This window comes from Homo sapiens, chromosome 2, assembly GCF_000001405.40.
Source record: "Homo sapiens chromosome 2, GRCh38.p14 Primary Assembly".
NCBI classification, from domain to species: domain Eukaryota; kingdom Metazoa; phylum Chordata; class Mammalia; order Primates; family Hominidae; genus Homo; species Homo sapiens.
Window position 1 is genome coordinate 47878406 of NC_000002.12, and position 23883 is coordinate 47902288.

The following is a 23883-nucleotide window of genomic DNA, read 5'->3' on the forward strand; positions in this document are numbered from 1 at the left end:
GGAGTGCAGTAGCACGATCTCAGCTGACTGCAACCTCCACCTCTGGGTTCAAGCAATTCTCCTGCCTCAGCCTCCCGAGTAGCTGGGATTACAGGTGCCTGCCACTATGCCGGGCTAATTTTTGTATTTTCAGTAGAGATGGGGTTTCACCATGTTGGCCAGGTTGGTCTTGAACTCCTGACCTCGAACTCCTCAATCTGCCCACCTCGGCCTCCCAAAGTGCTGGGATTACAGGTGTGAGCCACTGCGTCCAGCATTTTTTTTTTTTTTTTAAAGGAATGAAAGGTCTCAGCCAGGTGCGGTGGCTCATGCCTGTAATCCCAGCATTTTGGGAGACAGAGACAGGCAGATCACCTGAGGTCAGGAGTTCGAGACCAGCCTGGCCAACAACATGGTGAAACCCCATTCCTACTAAAAATACAGAAATTAGCCTGGCGTGGTGGGATGCCTGTAATCCCGGCTACTCGAGAGGCTGAGGCAGGAGAATCACTTGAATTGGGGAGGCAGACATTGTAGTGAGCTGAGATCACGCCACTGCACTCCAAGCGAAACTCTGTCTCAAAACAAAACAAAACAAAAAAGCCTCCCTCCCAATCTTTCCACGTATTCAGTTCCTCTCCCCTTTCTCCAGGTAACGCATGTTAAGATTTCCTTGTCCATCCTTTCCAAGTTTGTGAGTGTAAAAAAAATATGAATATAAATTATGCAGCCCCAGAATTTTGCCTTTTTCTTACAGCTGCATGGTATTCCATTATATGGTTTTTCCATAATTTCTTTGACTAATCCCCTACTGATGGACATCTGGATTGTTTCTCACCTTCTGCTATTACAGAATAATCTGATACATGTATCATGTGGTGTAAAGTATAAGATAAATTTCAGAAAACTCAACCTGCTGGGTAAATACATTTTTACTCTGGCAGATATTGACCAATTGCCTTCCACAGGGATTATCTCAATTTGTATTCTCAATAGCAGTGTATGAGCAGCTTTTCCCCCAAAGCTTCACAACCAATGGAGTATGCTGCCCAACTTTTGTTTTTGCCTAATAAGGGAACTATAATCATTGTAGTTTTAACTTCTCTTACTGTGAATGAGGTACTGGCCTCATTAGCTTAAAAGCCACTTATATTTAATTTTCTGTGAATTATCGATTCATATCTTTGCTCGGTTTTTATGGGGTTGCAAGATCTTTTTGTTATCAAGTTTCCAAGTACTTACTGCATGTATATCAGGAAGGCTACCCTCTGTCTATGATTAAAATTACCAATAAGTTTTGCTAATTCCTAACTGTAAATAAGTTTTGGCTGCAAATAAGTTTTACCAGTTTTGCTGAAACTCTATATCCACTGAACAATTCCCTTTTTCCCCTTCCCCTAGCTACCACCACTCTACTTTGTTTCTAAGGGTTTGACTACTTTAGATATCTCATATAAGTGGGGTCATGCAGTATTTGTCTTTTTGTGACTGGCTTTCACTTAGTGTAATTCCTCAAGGTTCATCTACGGTTGTATCACACAACAAAATTTCCTTTCTAAAGTTTGAATAATATTTCATTGTATGTATATACATTTTCTTTATCCATTCAGAGAAGGTTTTTTTTTTTTGGAAACGGGGTCTCACTCTGTCACCCAGGTTGGAGTGTAGTGGTGCAATCTCGGTTTACTGCAGCCTCCACCTTCCAGGCTCGAGAGATTCTCCCACCACAGCCTCCCGAGTTGCTGGGACCACAGGCACATGCCATCATGTCCAGCTAATTTTTTTGTATTTTTGGTAGAGTCAGGGTTTTGTCATGCTGCCAGGCTGGTCTCAAACTCCTTGGCTCAGGCAATCCACCCAACTTGGCCTCCCAGAGTGCCCTGAGAGTGTTTTAATGTAATAGAATTTATCATTTATTTCATGACTTCTGGATTGAATCAGTATAAAAGGTCTTCCCCATACTAAAATTATAAGAAGACTTCTACTTTTAGTATTTTCATGGCTTTATTTTATTCATTGATCTGTTTGGTATTTATGTGAAAAACATCCAATTTCATTTTTTCAGTTTTCCTGGCTCCTTTCTTGTTTACTTTTCCTTATGAACTGTGGAATCAGAATGTCCAGTGTTTTAATTTATAAAATTAAAAAACATTGTGTTGTTTCATTTGTTGAAGCTTGTTTGGCGTCTTTCACATAAACATTTCCTGCTATGAATGTATTTCCATTTCTCCTTGTATTTTTGGTTATTTCTGCTTCACCAAGTTTGCTATGTTATCTGACATATTGCTATTCACAACTATTAAATTTTCATTGTATCCTTTAAGAAATAAGTGCCACTCTTTATTGTTTTTTAGTATGAACTCCACCTGGTATGTTAAAATCATGACACTCCTAAATTATTTTCATTTGCATTTGTATCTTATACCTTTTCTCTATCTTTTAAAATACCAGTCTTTCACAATCACTGCCTTAGGTGTGTACCTTGTATAAACCAGAGAGTGGGTTTTGCCTTGAATCTAAGCTAAAAATATTTTCCTTCTAAAGGTGAGTTAAGCATATTAATATCTTTTTTAAGAAAGGCATGTTTGGGCCGGGCATGGTGACTCACACCTGTAATCCCAGCACTTTGGGAGGCTGAGGTGGGCAGATCACAAAGTCAGGAGTTCAAGTCAAGCCTGGCCAACATGGTGAAACCCGTCTCTACTAAAAATACAAAAATTAGCCGGGCTTAGTGGCGGGTGCCTGCAGTCCCAGTTACTTGGGAGGCTGACGCAGTAGAATCACTTGAACCCGGGAGTCGGAGGTTGCAGTGAGCCAAGATTGCGCCACTGTCCTCCAGCCTGGGTGACACAACGAGACTCTGTCTCAAAAAAAGAAAGAAACAAAGAAAGGTATGTCTGGTCTTAGGGCTGTCTTGTTATGTATGTGGTTATATAAGAATTTTTTTTCACTAAATGATGTTTTATTTTTAACTGGTTTGTAGTTCTTTCAATATCTAGGAAGGTTTATAGCTTTGTTCTAATGGTTACCTTTGTAATTTCTATCTCTTTAGACAATACCTATTAGTTCCTCAACATGAGTAATGTTAAAATTAGCACGCCTCCTCTCCCATTACCCTATTTAATCAATAGTATTGAAACTAATAGCATTATCTTTAGTGTTTTAGTTTTATTTTAATGTTTCTTTTAAAGTGCTGAATATGTTTATATTTCTATTATTTGATCTGTGATGTTTAAACATCTTTTTCAATACCAGTTATTACCATAGGGCAATTCCTTCTCTCAAATTTTATTAGTTTGATCATTTGTATATCATCAGGGTATACAATATTAACATTATATTCTGTCGTTATGATCTCCACATTTTAGTCTTTTTTTTTGAGACAGAGTCTCGCTCTATCACCCAGGCTGGAGTGCAGTGGCATGCATAATCTCTCACTGCAACCATCTACCTCCCAGGTTCAAGTGATTCTCGTGCCTCAGCCTCCCAAGTAGCTGGGACTACAGGTGTGCACCACCATGCCCAGCTAATTTTTATATTTTTGGTAGAGACAGGGTTTCACCATGATGGCCAGGCTGGTCTTGAACTCCTGGCCTCAAGTGATCTGCCTATTTTGGCCTCCCAAAGTGCTGGGATTACAGATGTGAGTCACCACGCCCAGCCCACATTTTAGTCTTTATGTCTATATATAAATTCACTGCTTACACACCAATCATTTCCCCATGTCTATCAGCTGAAGTTTATACTCTACTATTTTCCTCAAGAAGGGCTCACATAAACAATATTCTCTGAGTACTATTTGTTCCTTAAGAACAATGTGACTGGATATAAAATCTTTAGCTCGCACTTTACTTTCTTATCTTATAAATGTTGTTCGACTGGGGTTGAATGTTGTGGAGAATTCTAAGGCCAGCCAGATTTCAATGTCTTATAAACAACTTGGAGTGGGGTAGTTAGGAAGGTTTCTGGCTATTGAAAGGAATCTTTAAGATCTTTCTGGTCAGTTTTCCCTGCCACAGATGCCCTTTCAATACGTAAGTTTCATCTCAGCTAGTTTTTCTTCAATTGTGTTTTTAACCACTTGTTCTACTGTCATGTTTTGGTTTTCTTCTATAGGGGTTTCAATTCTAAGTTTGTTGGATCTACTGTATTTTCTAAAACTTAAAAAAATAAAATCTTTATTTCCATTTTTTAAAATCCCTGTGTCTCTTATTATGTTTTCCTTGGGGCTAGTCTGCTTCTTGTGCTCCTTCTTATTTCATCTGTATTTCTGTACTATTTTTTGAGACAGGGTCTCCCCTCTGTTGCCCAGGCTCAAGTGCAGTGGGGCAATTTTGGCTTATTGCAATCTCTGCCTGCTTGGCTCAAGCCATCTTCCCACCTCAGACTCCCAAGTAGCTGGGACTACAGACGTAAGCCACCACACCCGGCTAATTTTGTACTTTTTTAGAGACAGGTTTTGCCATGTTGTCTAGGCTGGTCTCAAACTCCTGAGCTCAAGCGATCTCCCTGTCTCAGCCTCCCAAAGTGCTGGGATTACAGGCGTGAGTCCCCATGCCCAGCCATTTGCTTTCTTCTACTTCTTTCCCAAGTTCCCTCAACTCACATTTTATGTCCTCCTGTTGCCCTGCCATCTCTTTTCTGAGTTCTTACCATTCCTGCTTTGTAATCTTCTCTTGTAGAACTATTTACAAGCTTTACTCAAGTCTAAAAAATAGATGGTGAAATGCTGGGTCACAATTTTCATCTGTTCTGTAGCAACACTTCACTAATGACTGTTCTTTGTGTTTGGGAAGTTTTGCTGCCATATCAGCTTCTTTTTTATTTTGCGTAACAGAATAAACTGAATTTTCCTGAAGCAGCTATTTACATAGATTCCTGGGAGTGGGAAAGGAAGGAAATAACAGGCTTCACAGTCCAAAGACTCTCTACTCCTTTGACGCTTTAAATAATAAAGGGAGTGTGTGCTCTTCTGCTGCCCTGCGACCAGTGCCCTGTGCATTGCCTTCTCCTGTATCCCCTAATCTAACTCATCTCTTTATTTCACTCAACCTCAGAGCCGCCACCAAAATGCAGATTTTTGTAAAAACCCTTATGGGGAAGACCATCACCCTCCAGATTGAACCCTTGGATACAACAGAAAATGTAAAGGCCAAGATCCAGGATAAGGAAGAAATTCGTCTGGATCGGCAAACACTGATGTTTGATGGCAAGCAACTGGAAGATGAACGTACTTTATCTAACTACAACATTCAAAAGGAGTCTACTCTTCATCTTGTGTTGAGACTTTGTGATGTTATCAAGGAAGAATTCTTATACAACTCCCAAGAAGAATAAGCACGAGAGAAAGAAGGTTAAGTTGGCTGTCCTTAAATACCATAAGGTGTATGAGAATGGTAAAATTAGTCGCCTTAGTCGGGAGTGCCCTTCAGATGAATGTGGTGCTGCAGTGTTTACAGCAAGCCACTTTGACAGATATTATTGTGGCAAATGTCTGGCTTATTGCTTCAACAAACCAGAAGACAAGTAATTGTGTATGAATTAATAAATTTTTTGGCTGGGCGCAGGAGCTCACGCCTGTAATCCCAGCACTTTGGGAGGCCGAGGTGGGTGGATCACCTGAGGTCAGGAGTTGGACCAGCCTGGCCAACGTGGTGAAACCCCATCTCTACTAAAAATAAAAAAGTTAGCCGGGCCTGTGATGCATACCTATAATCCCAGCTACTTGGGAGGCTGAGGCAGCAGAATCACTTGAACCCGGGAGGCAGAGGTTTCAGTGAGCCGAGATTGTGCCATTGCACTCCAGCCTGGGTGACAGAGCAAGACTCCGTCTCAAGAAATAAATAAATAAAAATTATTTAAAAATACAGAGAAAAGCTGGTTCCTGTACATGTGGCTCTGTGTGCACATGTGTACAGCTCTACTTTCTCTTTTCTGAATATAATCAGGTACTTCGCCACCAACTCCCGTCATTACAAACAAGAGATTTACCTTTTGAACTTCAACATGAACCCCTTACTGTCAGTAAGTATATTTAAACTAATAGCTTCTGTCCCTTTCGGATGTTTTTGATAGCCCTCAAATAACATAATCTGGAGTTTACATATGTCTTTCAGTTCACTGAAAACAGAGGTTGATGCATTTTTCCTCTTTATGATTTCTAGAGAAGATGCAGATTTATGCATCTACATTCATTCGGAAAGTATGATTATTAATTGTGTGTATGTTTATCATTGCTGTCTTTGAAGAGACAGAGAATCTCAATGCTGAAACTCACAGCACCATCCTGATGGCTGTTCCTTACAGTGTAACTTCAGGTATTTTTGAAGTATTTTTTAAAAGCTTTTACATGGGAGATGATTATTGATGCATTATAATTTAGTAATTAAAACTTCATTCTGGCTGTTTAATCAGAAAAACACGGATTCTAATCCTAAGGTTGCCAATTACTAACTCTTGTGAATTAAATTCAGTAAACAGAAGTTTACTGTAAAACAGGTTCTTGTTATGCATAATATATTAATTATACATCATTTCTATTGCGCATCATAAGTCCATATACTGATATCAGACATCTATTAATGAGGAAATACATTCTGGTAAGAATATAGCAACTTCATTACCAAACAGTATTATAAAGAAAGCATTCAGGACAGTGAATAAGATGAACTTACTATGTAAAACATTATCAAATAAATATTAACTGGTAATTCTTCATTAAGCATAAATGGGCCTAACAACAACTGTAAATGACAGCAAACACCTGAGGCTGAGATATGGAAAAGCCATCAAGAAGACATAAGACACATAAAAGGAAGTGATCGAATACTGAAGTCAAGCAACCACTGAGTTCACAACTTTACTACAGTGTCAAAAAAAAGAAAACTGCAGTAGTACGGCATATGGCTCACTCAAGAACAATGTGTAAGCCAGGTGCGGTGGCTCACGCCTGTAATCCCAGCACTTTGGGAGGCCGAGGTGAGTAAATCATTGAGGTCAGGAGTTCGAGACCAGTCTGGCCAACATGGCAAACCCTGTCTCTACCAAGGGCGTGGTGGTGTATGCCTGTAATCCCAGCTACTCGGGAGGCTGAGGCACGAGAAACACTTGAACCCAGGAGGTGGAGGCTGCAGTGAGCCGAGCTCACACCACTGCACTCCAGCCTGGGCAACATAGGGAGACTCAGTCTCAAAAAAAGAAAAAAAAAAGAACAATGTGTACATGAGTTTGTCTAAGGAAGAATTTTGTAAAAGAAAAACAGCCAAAGCATACAAGACTTGGAAAAGATTGTTCCACAGGTGGTAGAGTAAAGCCTTGAAGAGAGTGCCTAGTTCCTCTTCCCCCCACCAAAAAAATGCCAACATAAAGTGAACCAAGAGACGAAAGGAGTATGACAACAAAGTAAAATTCTGTCCTGATAAATCTTCTATGGCCTTTGGCCCATTCTCTCTCACTAAGAATATCCTTTTCCCCCTCCTTTCCTCTATCTGTGGATACTCATTCCTCAAGGTATAGTTTAAGTACCCCCACTATCTCTGAACAGTCCTTCCAAACCATTTCAACCCTAACACTAGTTGCCTCTTTACTCTCAAGTATCTCATGTATTCATTCATTCAATACTTAACCTCATGCATTAATGATGGGATTATAAATTATGCAACCTTCTTTTTAAAAACAAATTTGGCAACATTTACCAAACTTTAAAATGCAAATATCCCTCCGAATCATCAAAATGTATAATCAAACATGGGCATTTTAAAATATATTAATTATAATTCAATAAAGCTTAAAAACAGAAAAACCCTTTGACCCAATAACCCACTTTTAAAAAGTGAACCTTTCGCCAGGCACGGTGCCTCACGCTGTAATCCCAGCACTTTGGGAGGCCGAGGCAGGCAGATCACAAGGTCAGGAGTTCAAGACCAGCCTGACCAACATGGTGAAACTCCCGTCTCTACTAAAAATGCAAAAATTAGCAGGGCATGGTGGCGTGTGCCTGTAATCCCAGCTACTCAGGAGGCTGAGGCAGGAGAATCGCTTGAACCCGGGAGGTGGAGGTTGCAGTGAGCTGAGATCGCGCCACTGCACTCCAGCATGGGAGACAGAGCGAGACTCTCAAAAAAAAAAAAAAAAAGTGAATCTTTCTACTAAAATTGTGATATAAACATGTAAAGATATTTGTATAGGGTTGTTTGCTGCAGTTCTTTAATAGCATACAAGAATTTAAATGTTAACAGATAAATATTTAATACATTGTGGTACATTCATGTAAGGGGACTACTCTGCAACTGTAAAAAAGAATGAGGTAATCCTCTATTTATACTGATACAGAAAAATGCCCAGGATATCTTTAAGCAAAACATGAAACTTAGGTTACAAAATAATACACACAGTACGGTTTGTTTTTAATGAAAAAAAGTGTTTATATACACATGCATTTAAAAAATTGAAAAAGCCTGTGCAACACAATGAGACCCCTGTCTCTACCAAAAAAAAAATTAAAAATTAACTGAGCATAGTGGCACATGCCTGTGGTTCCAGCTAATCGAGAGGCAGAGGTTGAGGCTACACTAAGCTGTGATCAAGCCATTACACTCTAGTCTGGGTAAAAGAGCGACAGGGCAGACACCGTGGCTCATGCCTGTAATCCCAGCACTTTTGGAGACTGAGGTGGGCAGATCATCCGAGATTGGGAGTTCAAGACCTGCCTGACCAACATGGAGAAACCCCATCTCTACTAAAAATACAAACTTAGATGGGCATGGTGGCGCATACCTGTAATCCCAGCTACTCGGGAGGCTGAGGCAAGATAATCACTTCAGCCCAGGAGGTGGAGGTTGCGGTGAGCTGAGATTGTGCCATCGCACTCCAGCCTGGGCAACAAGAGCGAAACTCCGTTTCAAAAAAAAAAGGTGGGGGGGAGGGGGGAGACAAGACCCTATCTCGAATTTTTTTTTTTTTTCTTTTCAAAAGAACCAACACAAAAGAACAGTTAAGAGCTACCTCTGGGAATGAAAGAACAGGGAAAACAAAATAACTGACTTTCCCCCTTAAATTCTATGTCCCGTGCCAGTGGCTTATACCTGTAATCCCAGCACTTTGTGAGGCTGAGGTGGGAGGATCGCTTAAGGTGAAGAGTTCAAGACCAACCTAGGAGACAAAACAAGACCCTGTCTCTACAAAACACTTTGTGGGGCCAGGCATGGTGGCTCATGCTTGTAATCCCAGTACTTTGTGAGGCTGAGGTGGGCGAACTGCTGGAGCCCAGGAGTTCAAGGCCATTCTGGGCAACATGGTGAAATCTCGTCTTTACAAAAAATACAAAAATTAGCCGGGCATGGTGGCACACGCCTGTAGTCCCAGCTACTTGGGGGACTGAGGCAGGAGGATCACTTGAGCCTGGGAGGCAGAGGCTGCAATGAGCCGAGATTGTGCTATTGCATTCCAGCCTGAATGACTGAGATTCTGTCTCAAAAAAACCCATTAGCGGGCTTGGAGGGACACACCTGTAGTCCTAGCTACTGGCGCAGAGGTGAGGCAGAATGATCTCTTGAGCCTAGCAGTTCGAGGCTGCAGAGAGTAGTGACTGTGCCACTGTGTTCCTGCTGGGTGAGAGAGTGAAACCTTGTCTGAAAAAAAAAATCCCTAAAAAATGAAAGATATATATATATGTATGTATTCTTTAATTCACTTAAGGATTTCTAGGGTGCCAGGCACTCATGATCTACACCGCTCACTTCGCACTTACACATTTCTTCTGAGAGAGTATTCCATGCTCCCATCTACCCCTTGTAACCATAAACAGATCAGTAGGTCCAACAACTCATTAAAATGAAAAATGACTAGAATGATGATACAATTTTGGAACCAGAACAGGTAACATTATCATTACTGACTGGGAATCTGGAGACTTGGGCTCTAAATCCAAACATCACTCTGAACAAACCTCAAGAATTGGGACAGTGGTTCCTTCTATTTCAAACATTCTATAATACCATTCCTGACTAATTTACCATCTCCAAGATAATTTTAAAGTATCTAAACTAAGCTGACACCAAAAAAGAAAGGATGTAATCTTCTTTAGTGGACCATTTTAGAATTTACCAGATGTTCTTTATGTCAGTCTAATAATTTAAATTCATTTTCTTTAGCTATCTTCTGAGTATATAATAGGAAAAAAATAGCTGAGCAACCTTTTTCTTTTAAAAATTACTTTCAACCACTCTGAAAGGTTAACTTACTTTTAGGCTTGTTCTTCTTTGGAATAACACTTAAAATTTCCTGTTAGACAGTTTTTCAGCCATTGCAATGTTTTACAAATCTTATTGCTATGATACAGTATCATGTGTTTATACACACCCAAGCACCCAAACCACACACACTTCAGAACCTCAACTGTAGCCCCTATCTGCTATATTTGGTTCTAGCTAGACAGTTCAAAGAGTCTGCTCATTTTTTTTCTGTCCACACAGATTAAAACACATCTGCTTTTTTAAAAACAGGTTATTCAAAGTAATTTGATTTGTTCTTGGTTGAGTACTTAATCGCACCCAGTTTTTAATCATCTATGAACATATTTAATATGCTCAATAATGTAAATTAGGTAATTATATGAACACACCTTGGACTAGAGAAGATGAAGGAAAACAGAAACATTCATTCACTAAGTGTCTATGTGCAAATGGCTAGCAGTACTTTTTTTTATAAGTTAGCAGTATTTTTTTATAAGTTACAGTTTCCATAACATAACTTTCTAAAATCTCCCCCAACTGACATAACACCAATATGACTGCTTCATGAAAAAACAAAAGCTTTGTTTAAATCCGGTTATGTTGCTTTTCTTCCTTCTTCAGCTACTAAAAGCCACTGTTTCAGAGAAATACATTAAATAAATCTGTGATTGGCTCTTCATAGAACCATGTAGACTATTCCCTAGAATCTATACTTACTGATTTTTCCTTAACCACATCAGTAGCTTCCAATTAAAAAACAAAAAGCAACAAAATTTAGTTGATCTCTTTAATGAAGGTTTTCTAGTGTGCTTTCTCAGGAAAACACTTGTTTTCTCTTGGTTTAGGTTTATAAGAAGCCTGTAAGATGGTCCGACAACTTATCAAGTGAGTGTGAGATGAGTCAATTAAAAATCTAAGAACTAAATTCATGTTTCAAAGTCCTACATTTTTAAAAAAATGGTTATTACTTATTCCCAAACACATTCTTCTTAGAAATCCTCTTAGAAAGTGAGAGGGTTTTTTTTTTTTTAACCAATAATGATGAAATTATTTCCCTTAGCAATCTGTTTCAACACCTAATAAATTGACAGTGACTAATTTCTTCACAGGTAAACTCAAGTTTTACGAAAAGAAAATATTCCCCACATAAAATTATTAAACAGACATGAGTCCATACCACTAGGGTACCTTCAGAAAAAATAGCCACCTGTTGTGATCAACATTAAATTCCTCTTTTCTAATTATCCAGTACATTTGCATACTAAATTTTTCATCTTCCATCATTCAACAGGCTTGTGAGCAAAACATTTGTACGTATTTACTACCATAATCAAATTATCTGACGCAAAAAGAATTTTATGCTACAGTCGCAAACTTATCCTGGAAAGAAAGAATCACTGGTTCAGAGTCCCAAATATCAAATTCCTGGGCTCAAGCAATCCTACTGCCTCAGTCTCCTGAGTAGCTAGGACTACAGGTACATGCCACCAGGCCTGGCTAATTTTTATTATTTATTTATTTATTTATTTATTTCAGAGACAGGGTCTCAGTATGTTGGTAGGCTGGTCTTGCACTCTTGGTCTTAAAGGATCCTCTCACCTCATCCTTCCAAAATGCTAGGACTGCAGGCATGAGCCATGGTGAGTGGACTAATTTTAATTCTGAACTGACTTCCTGATTATCAGTCATCCTCATTTACTAGAAATAATATAGTCAATTATCATCCTAAAGTTGCTGTGAATAAAAATATAGATGTCTATAAATTAATAAGCACTTAAAGCACACTTCCAACATTAAAAATATGTAACATTTAAGCTTTTATTCAAATTTAAAATGCCCTACATGGGGACTGTATCATCAATCAAGTAGTATGAGTTCACGACACAATCAGAATTATAAAATTATTGGCAGGGCACGGTGGCTCACACCTGTAATCCCAGCACTCAGGAGGCCGAGGTGGGTGGACCACCTGAGGTCAGGAGTTTGAGACCATCCTGGCCAACATGACAAAACCCCATCTCTACTAAAAATACAAAAAGTCAGCTGGACATGGTGGCAAGCGCCTATAACCCCAACTACTTGGGAGGCTGAGGCAGGAGACTTCTTGAACTCGGGAGGCAGAGGTTGCAGTGAGCCAAGACTGGGCCACTGTGCTCCAGTCTGGGCGACAGAGCGAGACCCTGTCTAAAAAAAAGAAAAAAAAAAATATTATTATTATTGAGACACAGTCTTGCTCTATTGCTCACGCTGGAATGCAGTGGTGCAATCATAGCTCACCGCAGCCTTGACCTCTAGAGCTTAAGTGATCCTCCCATCTCAGCCTCCTGAGCAGTTGGGACCACAGGCATGTGCCACCATACCGGGATTTTTTTTTTTTTAATTTTTTTTGTAGAGATGGAGTCTCCCTATGTTGCTCAGACTAGTATCAAACTCCCGGGCTCAAGCGATCCTCCTGCCTCTGCCTCCCAACATGCTGGGATTACAGGCATGAGCCACTGCCAAAACTATTACTTTTTACTTTATTCTCATACATGAATACTACCTTCTTAACAAATGTTTAAGTGTACAATACAGTACTGTTGACTATAGGTACAATACTGTATGGCGGAACTTATTCATCCTGCTTAACTGAAACTTCATGCCTGCTGACTAGTAACTCCACATTTCCCCCTCCCCTCCCTTTCACCCCTGACAACCACGATTCCACTCTTTGATTCTATAAATTTGACTATTTCAGATAACTTCATTTAAGTGAAATCATGCAGTATTTGTCTGTGATTGGCTTATTTCATTTAGCATAATGTCCTCAAACTACATTAATGTTGCACATTGCAGAATTCCTTAAGACTGAATAACATTCCATTGCATGTATACACCACATTTTCTTTATTTCTTCATCTGTCAATGGACATGTTGTGGGCTGTTTCCACATCTTGGCTATTGTGAATAGTGCCATTATAAACATGGGAGTGCTAGTATTTCTTCAAGTTCCTGATTTCATTTCTTTTGAATAAATACTTGGAAGAAGAATTGCTGGATCATATGATAGTTCTATTTTTAATTTTTTGAGGACCTCCACACTGTTTTCCATAATAGTTACACCATTTTGCATTTCTACCAACAGTGTATAAGGGGTTCAATTTCTACGTATCTTCACCAACACTTGTCTTCTATGTTTTTTTTAAACAGTCATCCTAATAGGGATGAAAAGATATCTCATTGTGGTTTTTATTTGCATTTCCCTGATGATTAATGATGTTGAGTCTTTTTCCATATACTTGCTTGCCATCTGTATGTCTTCTCTGGAGAATGTCTATTGAAGTCTTTAGCTCATTTTTAAATAGGTTATTAGTTTTTCTGCCACTAAGTTGCAGAAGTTCCTTAAATATTTTGGAGATTAACTCCTTATCAGATATATGGTTTGCAAATATTTTCTCCCATTTCATAGGATGCCCTTTCACTTTGTTGACTGTTTCCTTTGCTGTGTAGAAGCTTTATAGTTTGATGTCTCACTTGTCTATTTTTACTTTTGTTGCCTGTCCTTTAGGTGTTGTATCCATGAAATCACTGCCAAAGACAATGTCACAAAGCCTCCCTCCCTGTAGATTCCATATACAGTATTTGAAAAGCAAAGATATGTAAAAGAATAACAAAAATCAACTCGCCACCACCATCTCAAGATATTAGTTAACATTTCACCAAAAATTTTTAGATATTTCACCCGAAAGGGTATATTTTCTGTTTCATTGCATGTGTTATTAACACATGTCACTGATTGGTATGTAACACTTTCCTAGCCCCCTAAAACCAGGGACTTAACTTTACATACTGTGATCAACCTCCCTACATCCGGATCTTCCAGCTCAGTTTTTCAACTCTAGATATATTCAGCTACAAGGTTCTCACATGATGCAGAAATAGAGTACAGGTTTCCTCTGACATGCTGCAATGCAGAATCAGAAAGATTCATAAAGGCATCCTGGGAGTTACAACTACTGCTTGCTATGTGGGATTAAACATGCTTATGAGGAAACAAAATGTTGTTTTATCTCTGCAATTGAGGTGCTTAAATTCTAGCAACATATAATTTAATTTAAACCTGTCCTCCTACCTTCAATTTCTAGATACATGGCCAAAACAATGAATGTAACAGCCAAAACAATGAATATAATGAAAAAAGCTAATACCACAAAAGCAAGATTAATAACCCCAACTCTGCAGTTAATTTTCTTATCTAGGCGTTTTTTTTTAAGTCATTTACATCAAAATGCTATAACATAATCGCTAGGCTGCAACAACTTTTGAAGTGTGGTCCAAAGGTAATTCAATAAATAATTACCAGCCTGGTTCACATGGTGAAACCCTGTCTCTACTAAAAATACAAAAAAATGAACCAGGCATGGTGGCACGTGCCTGTAATCCCAGCTAATCCGGAGGCTGAGGCACAAGAACTGCTTGAACCCAGGAGTAGAGGCTGTAGTGAGTCAACATTGCACCACTGCACTCCAGCCTGGATGACACAGTGATACTCTGTCTCAAAAAAAATAAATTAAATAAATAAATAAATAAATGGCAGAACATATACCAGACCGTGGGGGTCAAAACAAGCCTTTATCTTATTAACATTTCACAGAAAACTCTTTTAACATACTCTGCTGGTCTTGCAAACAGTCTACGGCTAAGGCTACATGAAACTTCAGTGTTTTATAAATATATATAAATCACATGTGTATGTGCATATATATATATATACACACATACTGGAGATATAAGGATAAACAGATCTGTGTATCTCTATCCCTAGAAATATGTATGTATCTTATTCAGGCAGAAAAACATGGGGTGGCTCAGGAGATAAATTATTAATCTATTCAATACAAAAGTTGATTTCTACTTGTTAGAAGAAAAATTAAAAACCAGAAGACAATGAAAATAAAACCAAGAAGCTTACTTGCAATTCAGACTAATTTCAAATTTTATTTAAACTCAGTTTCTTAACTTTAAGTTCCACAAGGGCAAGAACTACGTTTGCATGGTGATAACCTAACAAATTCAAACCTTGCTGATTTATATTGGCAACCCAAATGATACAGAATTTTAGAGCATCTCAGAAGTCATCTTATTCAAAAATCCTCTAATTTAAAGATAAGATTAAGAAACCACTCTGGAAAAAGGGAAGACACAAATGTCACCCTGAAGCAGCTCAGGCTCCTTATCCCCAAATTTAGGGATAATGTTCAGTAAATGGCAACATTTACTGAATGTGGCTATGTGTTGAAAAAAGAAAATGGAAAGCAAGGGCAGTCTCCTCCACACTGCTTTTTGCGGATAAGAAAGATCAACTGGTAGCATTAACATTGGACTGCTTAAGTGCTGAAAGAGCAAATGTGAAATGTTCCTCCTTTGCTATCTAAGGCTACCATATCATCAATTTCAATCAAGTAGTTCCTGATGAACAGAGCCCTGTCATTCTCAGGGGATACTTGTATCATGAGGAATACAAGTTTATGTGCCACTAGCACTTTAGTACAAGCTTTCACTTGAAGAACTTATCAAGGATGCTGGGCAGAGGCACTTTTTCACCTTCCTCCTATACACCAGGAACGGAAAGGTCCAGTCAAGGACCAGAAAAACATCTCTAAAAGCAAAATATGCCCCCATTTTTCTGTGAAAGTTTCACAATTTTAAAATAAGCTTATTGTAAGACAATAAAGGGTAGTCAAGAATATGCAGAAAACTAGAAATGAAATAACTGTCCAAATAATAGCAAAATATTTTCATAAGAGTTAAAGAGATAAACTTTAAAGGAGTAAGAAACAGGTTCCAAACTTAAGTGGAGAAACAAAATTACTTATCACCACTTCAGCAGCAAAAGGAAGCAAGTTTTTGGAATGAAGGCCCAGAATCACATATTAAAGTCCACAGTATTTTTTTAAAATTCTTAAATACAAAAAAGATGTCTTCCACTCCTCAAAGCAACCCAACCTACAATCTTTGAGGGGAAATCAAAGTGATATTAAGTTAGTGAATAAACTTTCTGACTAGTGGGAAAAAAGTTCCTTAGATTTTTAGACAGTATACTTGCAAAAACTTAAAATTAAAAGAACTATTAAATGTTTGTGTGTCCAAAGTTTAAATCAATCAAATCTGTGGATAAAAAATTTTAGCACAAAAACAATGTTTATGATAACCCAACATATTTTAATAACAACTGTGGCTATCTGCAAAAAAATGAAAATGTGAAAATGGGAAAGAACACAGCAGTCTCCTCCTCTGTTTTTTGTGGAAAAGGTTAACACTGTAAGCCTCAAGACTGAACTGTTAAAGGATACCAAGAGACTCAAGAAAAACACCAATATTTAAAATAAAATAATTTCCAATTATTTTAGTAACATAATTATGAGATGCCATATTCACACACCTTAAAGCTGTTTTAGTTTCCATTTCTTGCAAAGTAAATGGAAATTTTGTCTTTGAGAAAATATCAGCAATGATATATGCTGAGGTATAAAACTCACACGGAATGTGGCAAATGTGTAAGAATGCTCACATATGCAAAGAAAAAAATGCAGAAAAATAAAAAGGAATGCTCACAGTAGCACTACTCCTGACATCCAAACACAAAAACAATCCTATGTCCATCAACTGTAGAATGGATAAACTGTAGTATATTCATACAATGTAATACTAAACAGCAACAAGAATGAACAATGAAAAAACTAATGCTACAAGCAGCAATATGGATGAAGCTCACAACAAATATTAAGGGAGAATTCTGTCAGACACATAGGAGTACATACTGGGGGGTTACATTTACATAAAGTTAAGAAACAGGCACAAGTAATCCAAGCAATCAGAAAGATGGGGTTGGGAACAGTGACTAGGAAGGCCCTTCAAGGGGGACACTTCTGGGATACTAGTAGTGCTTTATTCCTTGCTGTAGGTATTTTTGGTTACACAGATGTGTTTACTTCAGGAAAAGTAATCAAGCTGTACACGGATGATTTGTGCACTTACATATTTCAATTACAAGATTAGCAGAAATTATTTCCACAATTTAAATAACTATATAGTTTATGTTGTTGTTTTTTTTTGAGACAGAATTTCACTCTTTCACCCAGGCTGGAGTGCAGTGGCATGATCTGGGCTCACTGCAACCTCTGCCTTCTGGTTTCAGGCGATTCTCCTGCCTCAGCCTCCCGAGTAGCTGGGATTACAGGCATCTGCCACCATACCCAGCTAGCCAATTTCTGTATTTTTAGTAGAGACAGGGTTTCACCATGTTGGCCAGGCTGGTCTCGAACTCCTGACCTCGTGATCCACTCGCCTCAGCCTCCCAAAGTGCTGGGATTGCAGGCATGAGCCACCATGCCCAGCCATAACTATATAGTTTTAAATGTATATAGCCCATTTATATTTTAAAAACTATAGACTGTTTCTAATTCAAACAACTATTGCTAACACAAATGATTCATACATACTCTACTTCTCTCCCTCACAATCCTCACCCCAAAATTAGTCTTTTGAGTATTTTCTAAAAAGTGAAACTTTAAGAGAAAAATTTAAAAGTCAGAAAAAGATCAGGAAAAGAAATAAACACGTAATGTTAAGTGATTCTTGCAGGAATCCTTTACTCTCCCCCTCCCCCAATACTTTATTTGCCTCTGAAGAATCACTCCTACCCGAAAGATCTTTCTCCAAATTGTTTCTTTTCTTTTTTTTTTTTTTGAGACAAGGTCTTAAAACTCTGTCACCCAGGCTGGAGTGCAGTGGCTCAATCACAGTTCACTCTAGCCTTGACCTCCCTGGCTCAGATGATCCTCTCACCTCAACCTCCTGAGTAGCTGGGACTACAGGCATGGGCCACCACCCCACAGCTAACTTTGTATTTTCTGTAGAGACGGGGTTTCGCCATGTTGCCCAGGCAGGTCTCAAACTCCTGGGCTCAAGCGATCCACCCCACCCAGCCTCCCAAAAAGTGCTAGGATTACAGGCATGAGCCACTATGCCCCGCCCAATTGTTTAATTTCGCTTCCCTCTTTTACTTGGCCTAAAATACCAAAATTTGACAAGTTATCATAATCAGTCTCTTAAAAATGCAAATGTCTTTCAGAGAATTAATGAAGACATCAGTCATTCATATGTAAGTGTGAAGTAGTATAGTGGCTACTTTTATGTATTGCTGACCTTATATGAAATAAAGTGAGTGAGTCTATAATTTCCTTTACCATAAGAACACTTTGCTAAAAATACTAGCTTTCAAAATATAGTGCCTTACTCCAACTTCTATTTCTCTCAACAAATCTTCTTTGATATTTCTTCTTTACTATGATAGAAGTCTGGAAAGACTCCTACTTTTCATTTGTTAAATTTTATTCACTTCTAATTCCCTTTAAAGCTTGTTTTTTTCTTTTTTCAAAAAGTTATGACCAATTATGTGGGAAGAAACAATAACTAGTAACATACATACCAAAGTTGTCCATCTCAATATATAACAAGGGAATAAAAAATAGTTACATGCTCTTCCTCTTCCCCATCCCCTTTCCTACTAAGTGTTAGAATCTCATAAAGCCACATGTTCTTATATACAGTATGTTAATATACTATGAATGGAAGATAGAAAAATCAATGCTTGGATATAAAAAAGAATTATTGTATCTAAACCCAAGTAGAGTTGGCAAATCAGCAAAGGCTAAACTGATTCAAGTCAGTTGGTTACACTACAGTAACACAGACACCAATATCAAAGGTTAAACCCACACAGTGGCCAGTTAATTTCACACTAAAGAAAAACTTCTGGTCGGGTGAGGTGGCTCACGCCTGTAATCCCAGCATTTTGGGAGGCTTAGGCGGGCAGATCACTTTACATCATGAGTTTGAGATCAGCTTGGCCAACGTGGGGAAACCCCGTCTCTACTGAAAATACAAAAATCAGCCAGGCATGGTGGTGTGCACCTATAATCCCAGCTACTCAGGAGGCTGAGGCAGGAGAATCACTTGAACTCAGGAGGCAGAGGTTGCAGTGAGCCAAGATCACACCATTGCACTCCAGCCTGGGTGACAGAGTGAGACTGTGTCTTAAACCAAAAAAAAAAAAAAAAAAAAGGAAAAGAAAAAAGAAAAATTTCCAACAAAGATTTTGCCACAATTCAACTCAACCATCTGGAAAAGGAGTGTTGTTCACTAGGAAAAAAGAGTAAAAATGAGATTATCACTATTATCAGAAAAATAACTAAAAGTACATATTCTTACTCCATTTCTAGCCTTCAAATAATCTCTAAGTATGAGAAAATACAAAAGCTCTCTTCACACAAAAAAAAGGATGAATGACACCTCTTCTCTCATGAGATGTGAAAATATTCCTTAATGTTTTTTAAGGTTTAGTCACCACATGGAAGAAAACAATTTTCTCCCCTTTTTGAACATAGCCCCATGATCTTCATTTGTTAAAAAGAACAAAACATTTAACAACGGGGTTTTTAGAAACTGGGAGAGCAAGCAATTAACATACTGAACTCACACTTGCTTTAACATGCTATCTTATTCGGGGTGTTTAAAAAACGTTTTAAATGCAATTAATGCATTCATTTTCAAAGGAAAATAAACATTTTTGATATTTGCCTTCAACTGAAATAAATCATGTAAAGGAAGTTAGTTGGTTTCATTTCTCTATTTTCTAAGGATTAAGTTTAAGCACATTTTTTATGCTAACCAAACATATATAAAAACTCCAAGCTACACATATAAGAAACACACCAAACCATGGTGAGAAAAGAATATTTAGTCCACAAACCAGTCAAAATTACCACTGAAATCTAAAACTAATTTAACGCACATTTTTCTCCTTCTGAAATAGTCCAGCCTACAACCATGAGCTAAAATCAGTTAATACCCTTTATTCATAACTTATGAGTAATTCAGGGGAAATCTACCCTTCTTTGTATAATGAGTGCTTAATGATCTCATCAACACACTGGAAAAACATGCTGGTCAATCAGTAGAGTCTCATCTTGAGACAAATCTACATGAGAGGTAAAATTATAATCAGAAGATTACTTGAAAAATGTGAAACCAGATAAGTCAACAATCAATAGCATCAGACTAGTGCAGCCATCTCCAATAGGACAGATGGTATAGAACAGGGGACAGATCTGCTTCAAGGGGCAGGTTATTGCATCCCCTGAAAGTTATACAAACATTCTGCCAAATGTATTTTGGTATCTTTCCTTGTTTATAGAAAGATTAGGTGATATAAATCAATTTTGAAATTTTTTTGCTACTTACTATGCATCTTCATTGTTGTATAGCTGAGCCTCTACTTCTTCATTTATTAAAAAAAAAAAGTAATAAAATCTCTTACAGAATTGGTATAAGGGGGCCAGGCACGGTGGCTCATGCCTGTAATCCCAGCACTTTGGGAGGCCGAGGCGGGCGGATCACGAGGTCAGGAGATCGAGACCATCCTGGCTAACATGGTGAAACCCGGTCTCTACTAAAAATACAAAAAATTAGCCGGGCGTGGTGGTGGGCACCTGTAGTCCCAGCTACTCAGGAGGCTGAGGCAGGAGAATGGTGTGAACCCGGGAGGCGGAGCTTGCGGTGAGCCGAAATCGCGCCACTGTACTCCAGCCTGGGCGACAGAGCAAGACTCCGTCTCAAAAAAAAAAAAAAAAAAAAGAATTGGTATAAGCTTCAACAAATCAGTTTCTCTGAGGTTGTAACAAGTCATACAGATTGAATTTTATCTCTTGGGTTTAATTTTATATACAGCTGATACAATCCCTTACTTTTTATATTTAAAAGACCTATCATTTATTAAATATCTATCATGTGCTAGGAACTTTACTATCTCTCATCCTTACAAATGTTCTATAAGGCAGGTGTGATTCCCACTTGAAAGATCACAAAGTAAGGCTCAGAGAGGTAACATTGCTCACCAAATGTTAAATAACTAATCAGATGTGTAGTCAGGATTAGAACCCATATCTAGCTAGCTTTAACTCTGAGCTCTTTACATCATACTGTCTCATTCCTTATAGTGTATCTTCATAATTTTATTTTCACAGGGTAGCAACTACAATTTGGGGAATACTTTGCCAACAAAGTCACATACTATAATTCTGTGGAAGATAAGAATATATTTCAAAGGTCTGATAAATCAGTGAATTGGAAGGTCTAAAACAGAGTAATACTTCAAAGATAAGTGGGACAAGACAGAAACAAAATAAGAGTAACTTTAATATCAGGGATAAATAGGGGGACAATAAAAGACCTCATGTTGAAATAGCTCATTACTGTAAACTGGTTATTTTCAAAGTTAAAACAAACGGTGGGGGGCGGGGGGACTTGAGAAAATACTCAAACTAGGGGTTCTCACTAACAGATCAGGAACTACTTGTGGTTCCTGCCTTACCTAGTAGGTCTCCAAGCTGGTTGGCCTTCTCTTGGGTTTGTCAGAATTTCCAGTAAAGGGAGAAAAGCAGGATAAGAGCTCTTAGGCCTTATCAGCAGAGCTCTTAGGCCTCATCAGCACAACTTTAACACTAATAGCAACACTACTCTGTTTCTATCCCTCAAGTAAGTTCCAAGCTTTAAGAAAATAGGCTCTTTTTACAGCTCCCATACTTCCTGCCTCCAAAAGGTTGAGTGGCACTGTCTCCTCTCATGGGATACATTTGGAAGGGTTAGCCACCAGATGACAGAGTAGTACCCCACAGTACTTACTTCCTAAAACAGGAAAAATCATGTTTCTTGTGCAGAACTCCTCTATTAAGACTGCACAGGATCCATGAAGTTAAAATATCACATGCTAGAACAATGCCACAGAAAGTATAACTAGCATTCCTGACTAGAACAGCAAGGAGTGTCTCCTGGCTGCTGCATATTATAAATATACAGCTCATTCCTCATCAGTACAGTGTCGAGAAAAAAGTATATACACGTATATATACACACGTATACACACATATATACGTATATACACACGTATACACACGTATATACACACGTATACACACACGTACGTATATACACACGTATACACACACGTACGTATATACACACGTATACACACACGTATACACACACGTGTATATATATACACGTATACACACACGTGTATATATATACACGTATACACACACGTGTATATATATACACGTATACACACACGTGTATATATATACACGTATACACACACGTGTATATATATACACGTATACACACACGTGTATATATATACACGTATACACACACACGTGTATATATATACACGTATATATACACACATATATATGTATATATATACACGTATTTATGGAATTGCAGGGTTTTTAAAAATTGAAATCATTCAGTACGTATAATATTACATAAAATATTGCCGGTGGGGAGATATATATATTTATGTATATATATACACACGTGTGTACATATATACACATATATATGTATATATATACACACGTGTGTACATATATATACATATATATGTATATATGTACACACGTGTGTACATGTATATATATACACACGTGTGTACATATATACATATATATGTATATATATGTGGGTACATATATATGTGTGTCATAGATAAGATTTTTATCCCACAAATATGGGATTAGAGAGACTAGGTTTTTATTCTACAAGATTAGCTCAGAGTAGAAATGAATAGCAAAATCTATTAATGCATTCATTAAATTTCTTGAACTATAAATATCACAATTAGATTTTCAGCACTTCAAAACAGTCCTGTGACTTTTCCAATAACTAGAAAAAAAATACATCTATTTTCAAAAACTCCCATGTCAAGATTATTTCCAGAACCCAAATTCATCTTTTATTAAAAGGTAATAAATGAGAAACTAATAACAGTTATTAGATTCCAGGTAGAAGAATTTAGTAGCTGGAGGCTGATGTACGAAGGGGACTTCTGAATTTTAAACTGTGGCAATATTACCTATTCAAAGTAATTAATTTTATTTTATTTATTATTTATTTTTTGAGATGGAGTCTCATTCTGTCACCCAGGCTGGAGTGCAGTGGTGCAATCTCAGTTCAAAGTAATTAATTTTAACAACTAAAATCTACTGATGAGAACACACAGCACTTCTGTAGACTTGTAAGCTTTCCTCATACTTTGTAATATCTAAAAAAATTACAAAATACATTCCTGCAGTAAAGACAATAAATTCATCAGAACGGGCTGCAAAAGCTAACTCCTTCTAGAATTTTAAAACAAAACAAATATCAAAAATCCAATCCCACACTACTGTTTCATTAAATCATGGACTATATTACCGAATTGTCACTGCGTAAAATACAGTTTTTATTTTTGAGACCGAGTCTTGCACTGTGTCACCTGGGCTGGAGTGCAATGGTGTGATCTCAGCTCACTACAACCTCAGCCTCCCGCGTTCAAGCGATTCTCCTGCCTCAGCCTCCAGAGTAGCTGGGATTACAGGCGTGAGCCGCCATGCCTGGCTCATTTTTGTATTTCTAGTTAAGACGAGGTTTCACTACGTTGGCCAGGCTGGTCTTGAACTCCTGACCTCGTGGTCCACCTGCCTCGACCTCCCAAAGTGCTGGGATTACAGGCGTGAGCCATTGCTCTGGGCCTGTAAAATACAATTCTACTAGTACATGAAATCCCAATCTCAGGAATTTAAGAAAT

General features: G+C 38.1%; 1 protein-coding gene and 1 pseudogene across 8 annotated transcripts in view, besides 1 other annotated feature; one reads left to right on the forward strand and one right to left on the reverse strand.

The window, feature by feature from the left end:
• The window catches only part of FBXO11 (F-box protein 11), a 99579-nt gene that overhangs the window by 71486 nt on the left and 4210 nt on the right, over window positions 1-23883 (reverse strand). The window contains exon 1 of one of the 8 annotated variants that reach the window (NM_025133.4): window positions 10221-10314. The exons of the other annotated variants lie outside the window; for them this stretch is intronic. The gene's annotated coding sequence lies outside the window, so the exon portion shown is untranslated. Of the gene's footprint in view, window positions 1-10220; window positions 10315-23883 lie in introns of those variants that run through there. 8 annotated transcript variants of the gene reach the window in all.
• On the forward strand, window positions 4562-5509 carry RPS27AP7 (RPS27A pseudogene 7; annotated as a pseudogene).
• Window positions 23554-23823: a silencer, noted in NCBI's record as "fragment chr2:48129098-48129367 (GRCh37/hg19 assembly coordinates)". NCBI's record gives its function as "represses an EF-1alpha promoter that drives an FKBP-Casp9 reporter gene in an ReSE screen in HepG2 liver carcinoma cells {active_cell/tissue: HepG2}" and the evidence as "EXISTENCE:reporter gene assay evidence [ECO:0000049][PMID:32094911]".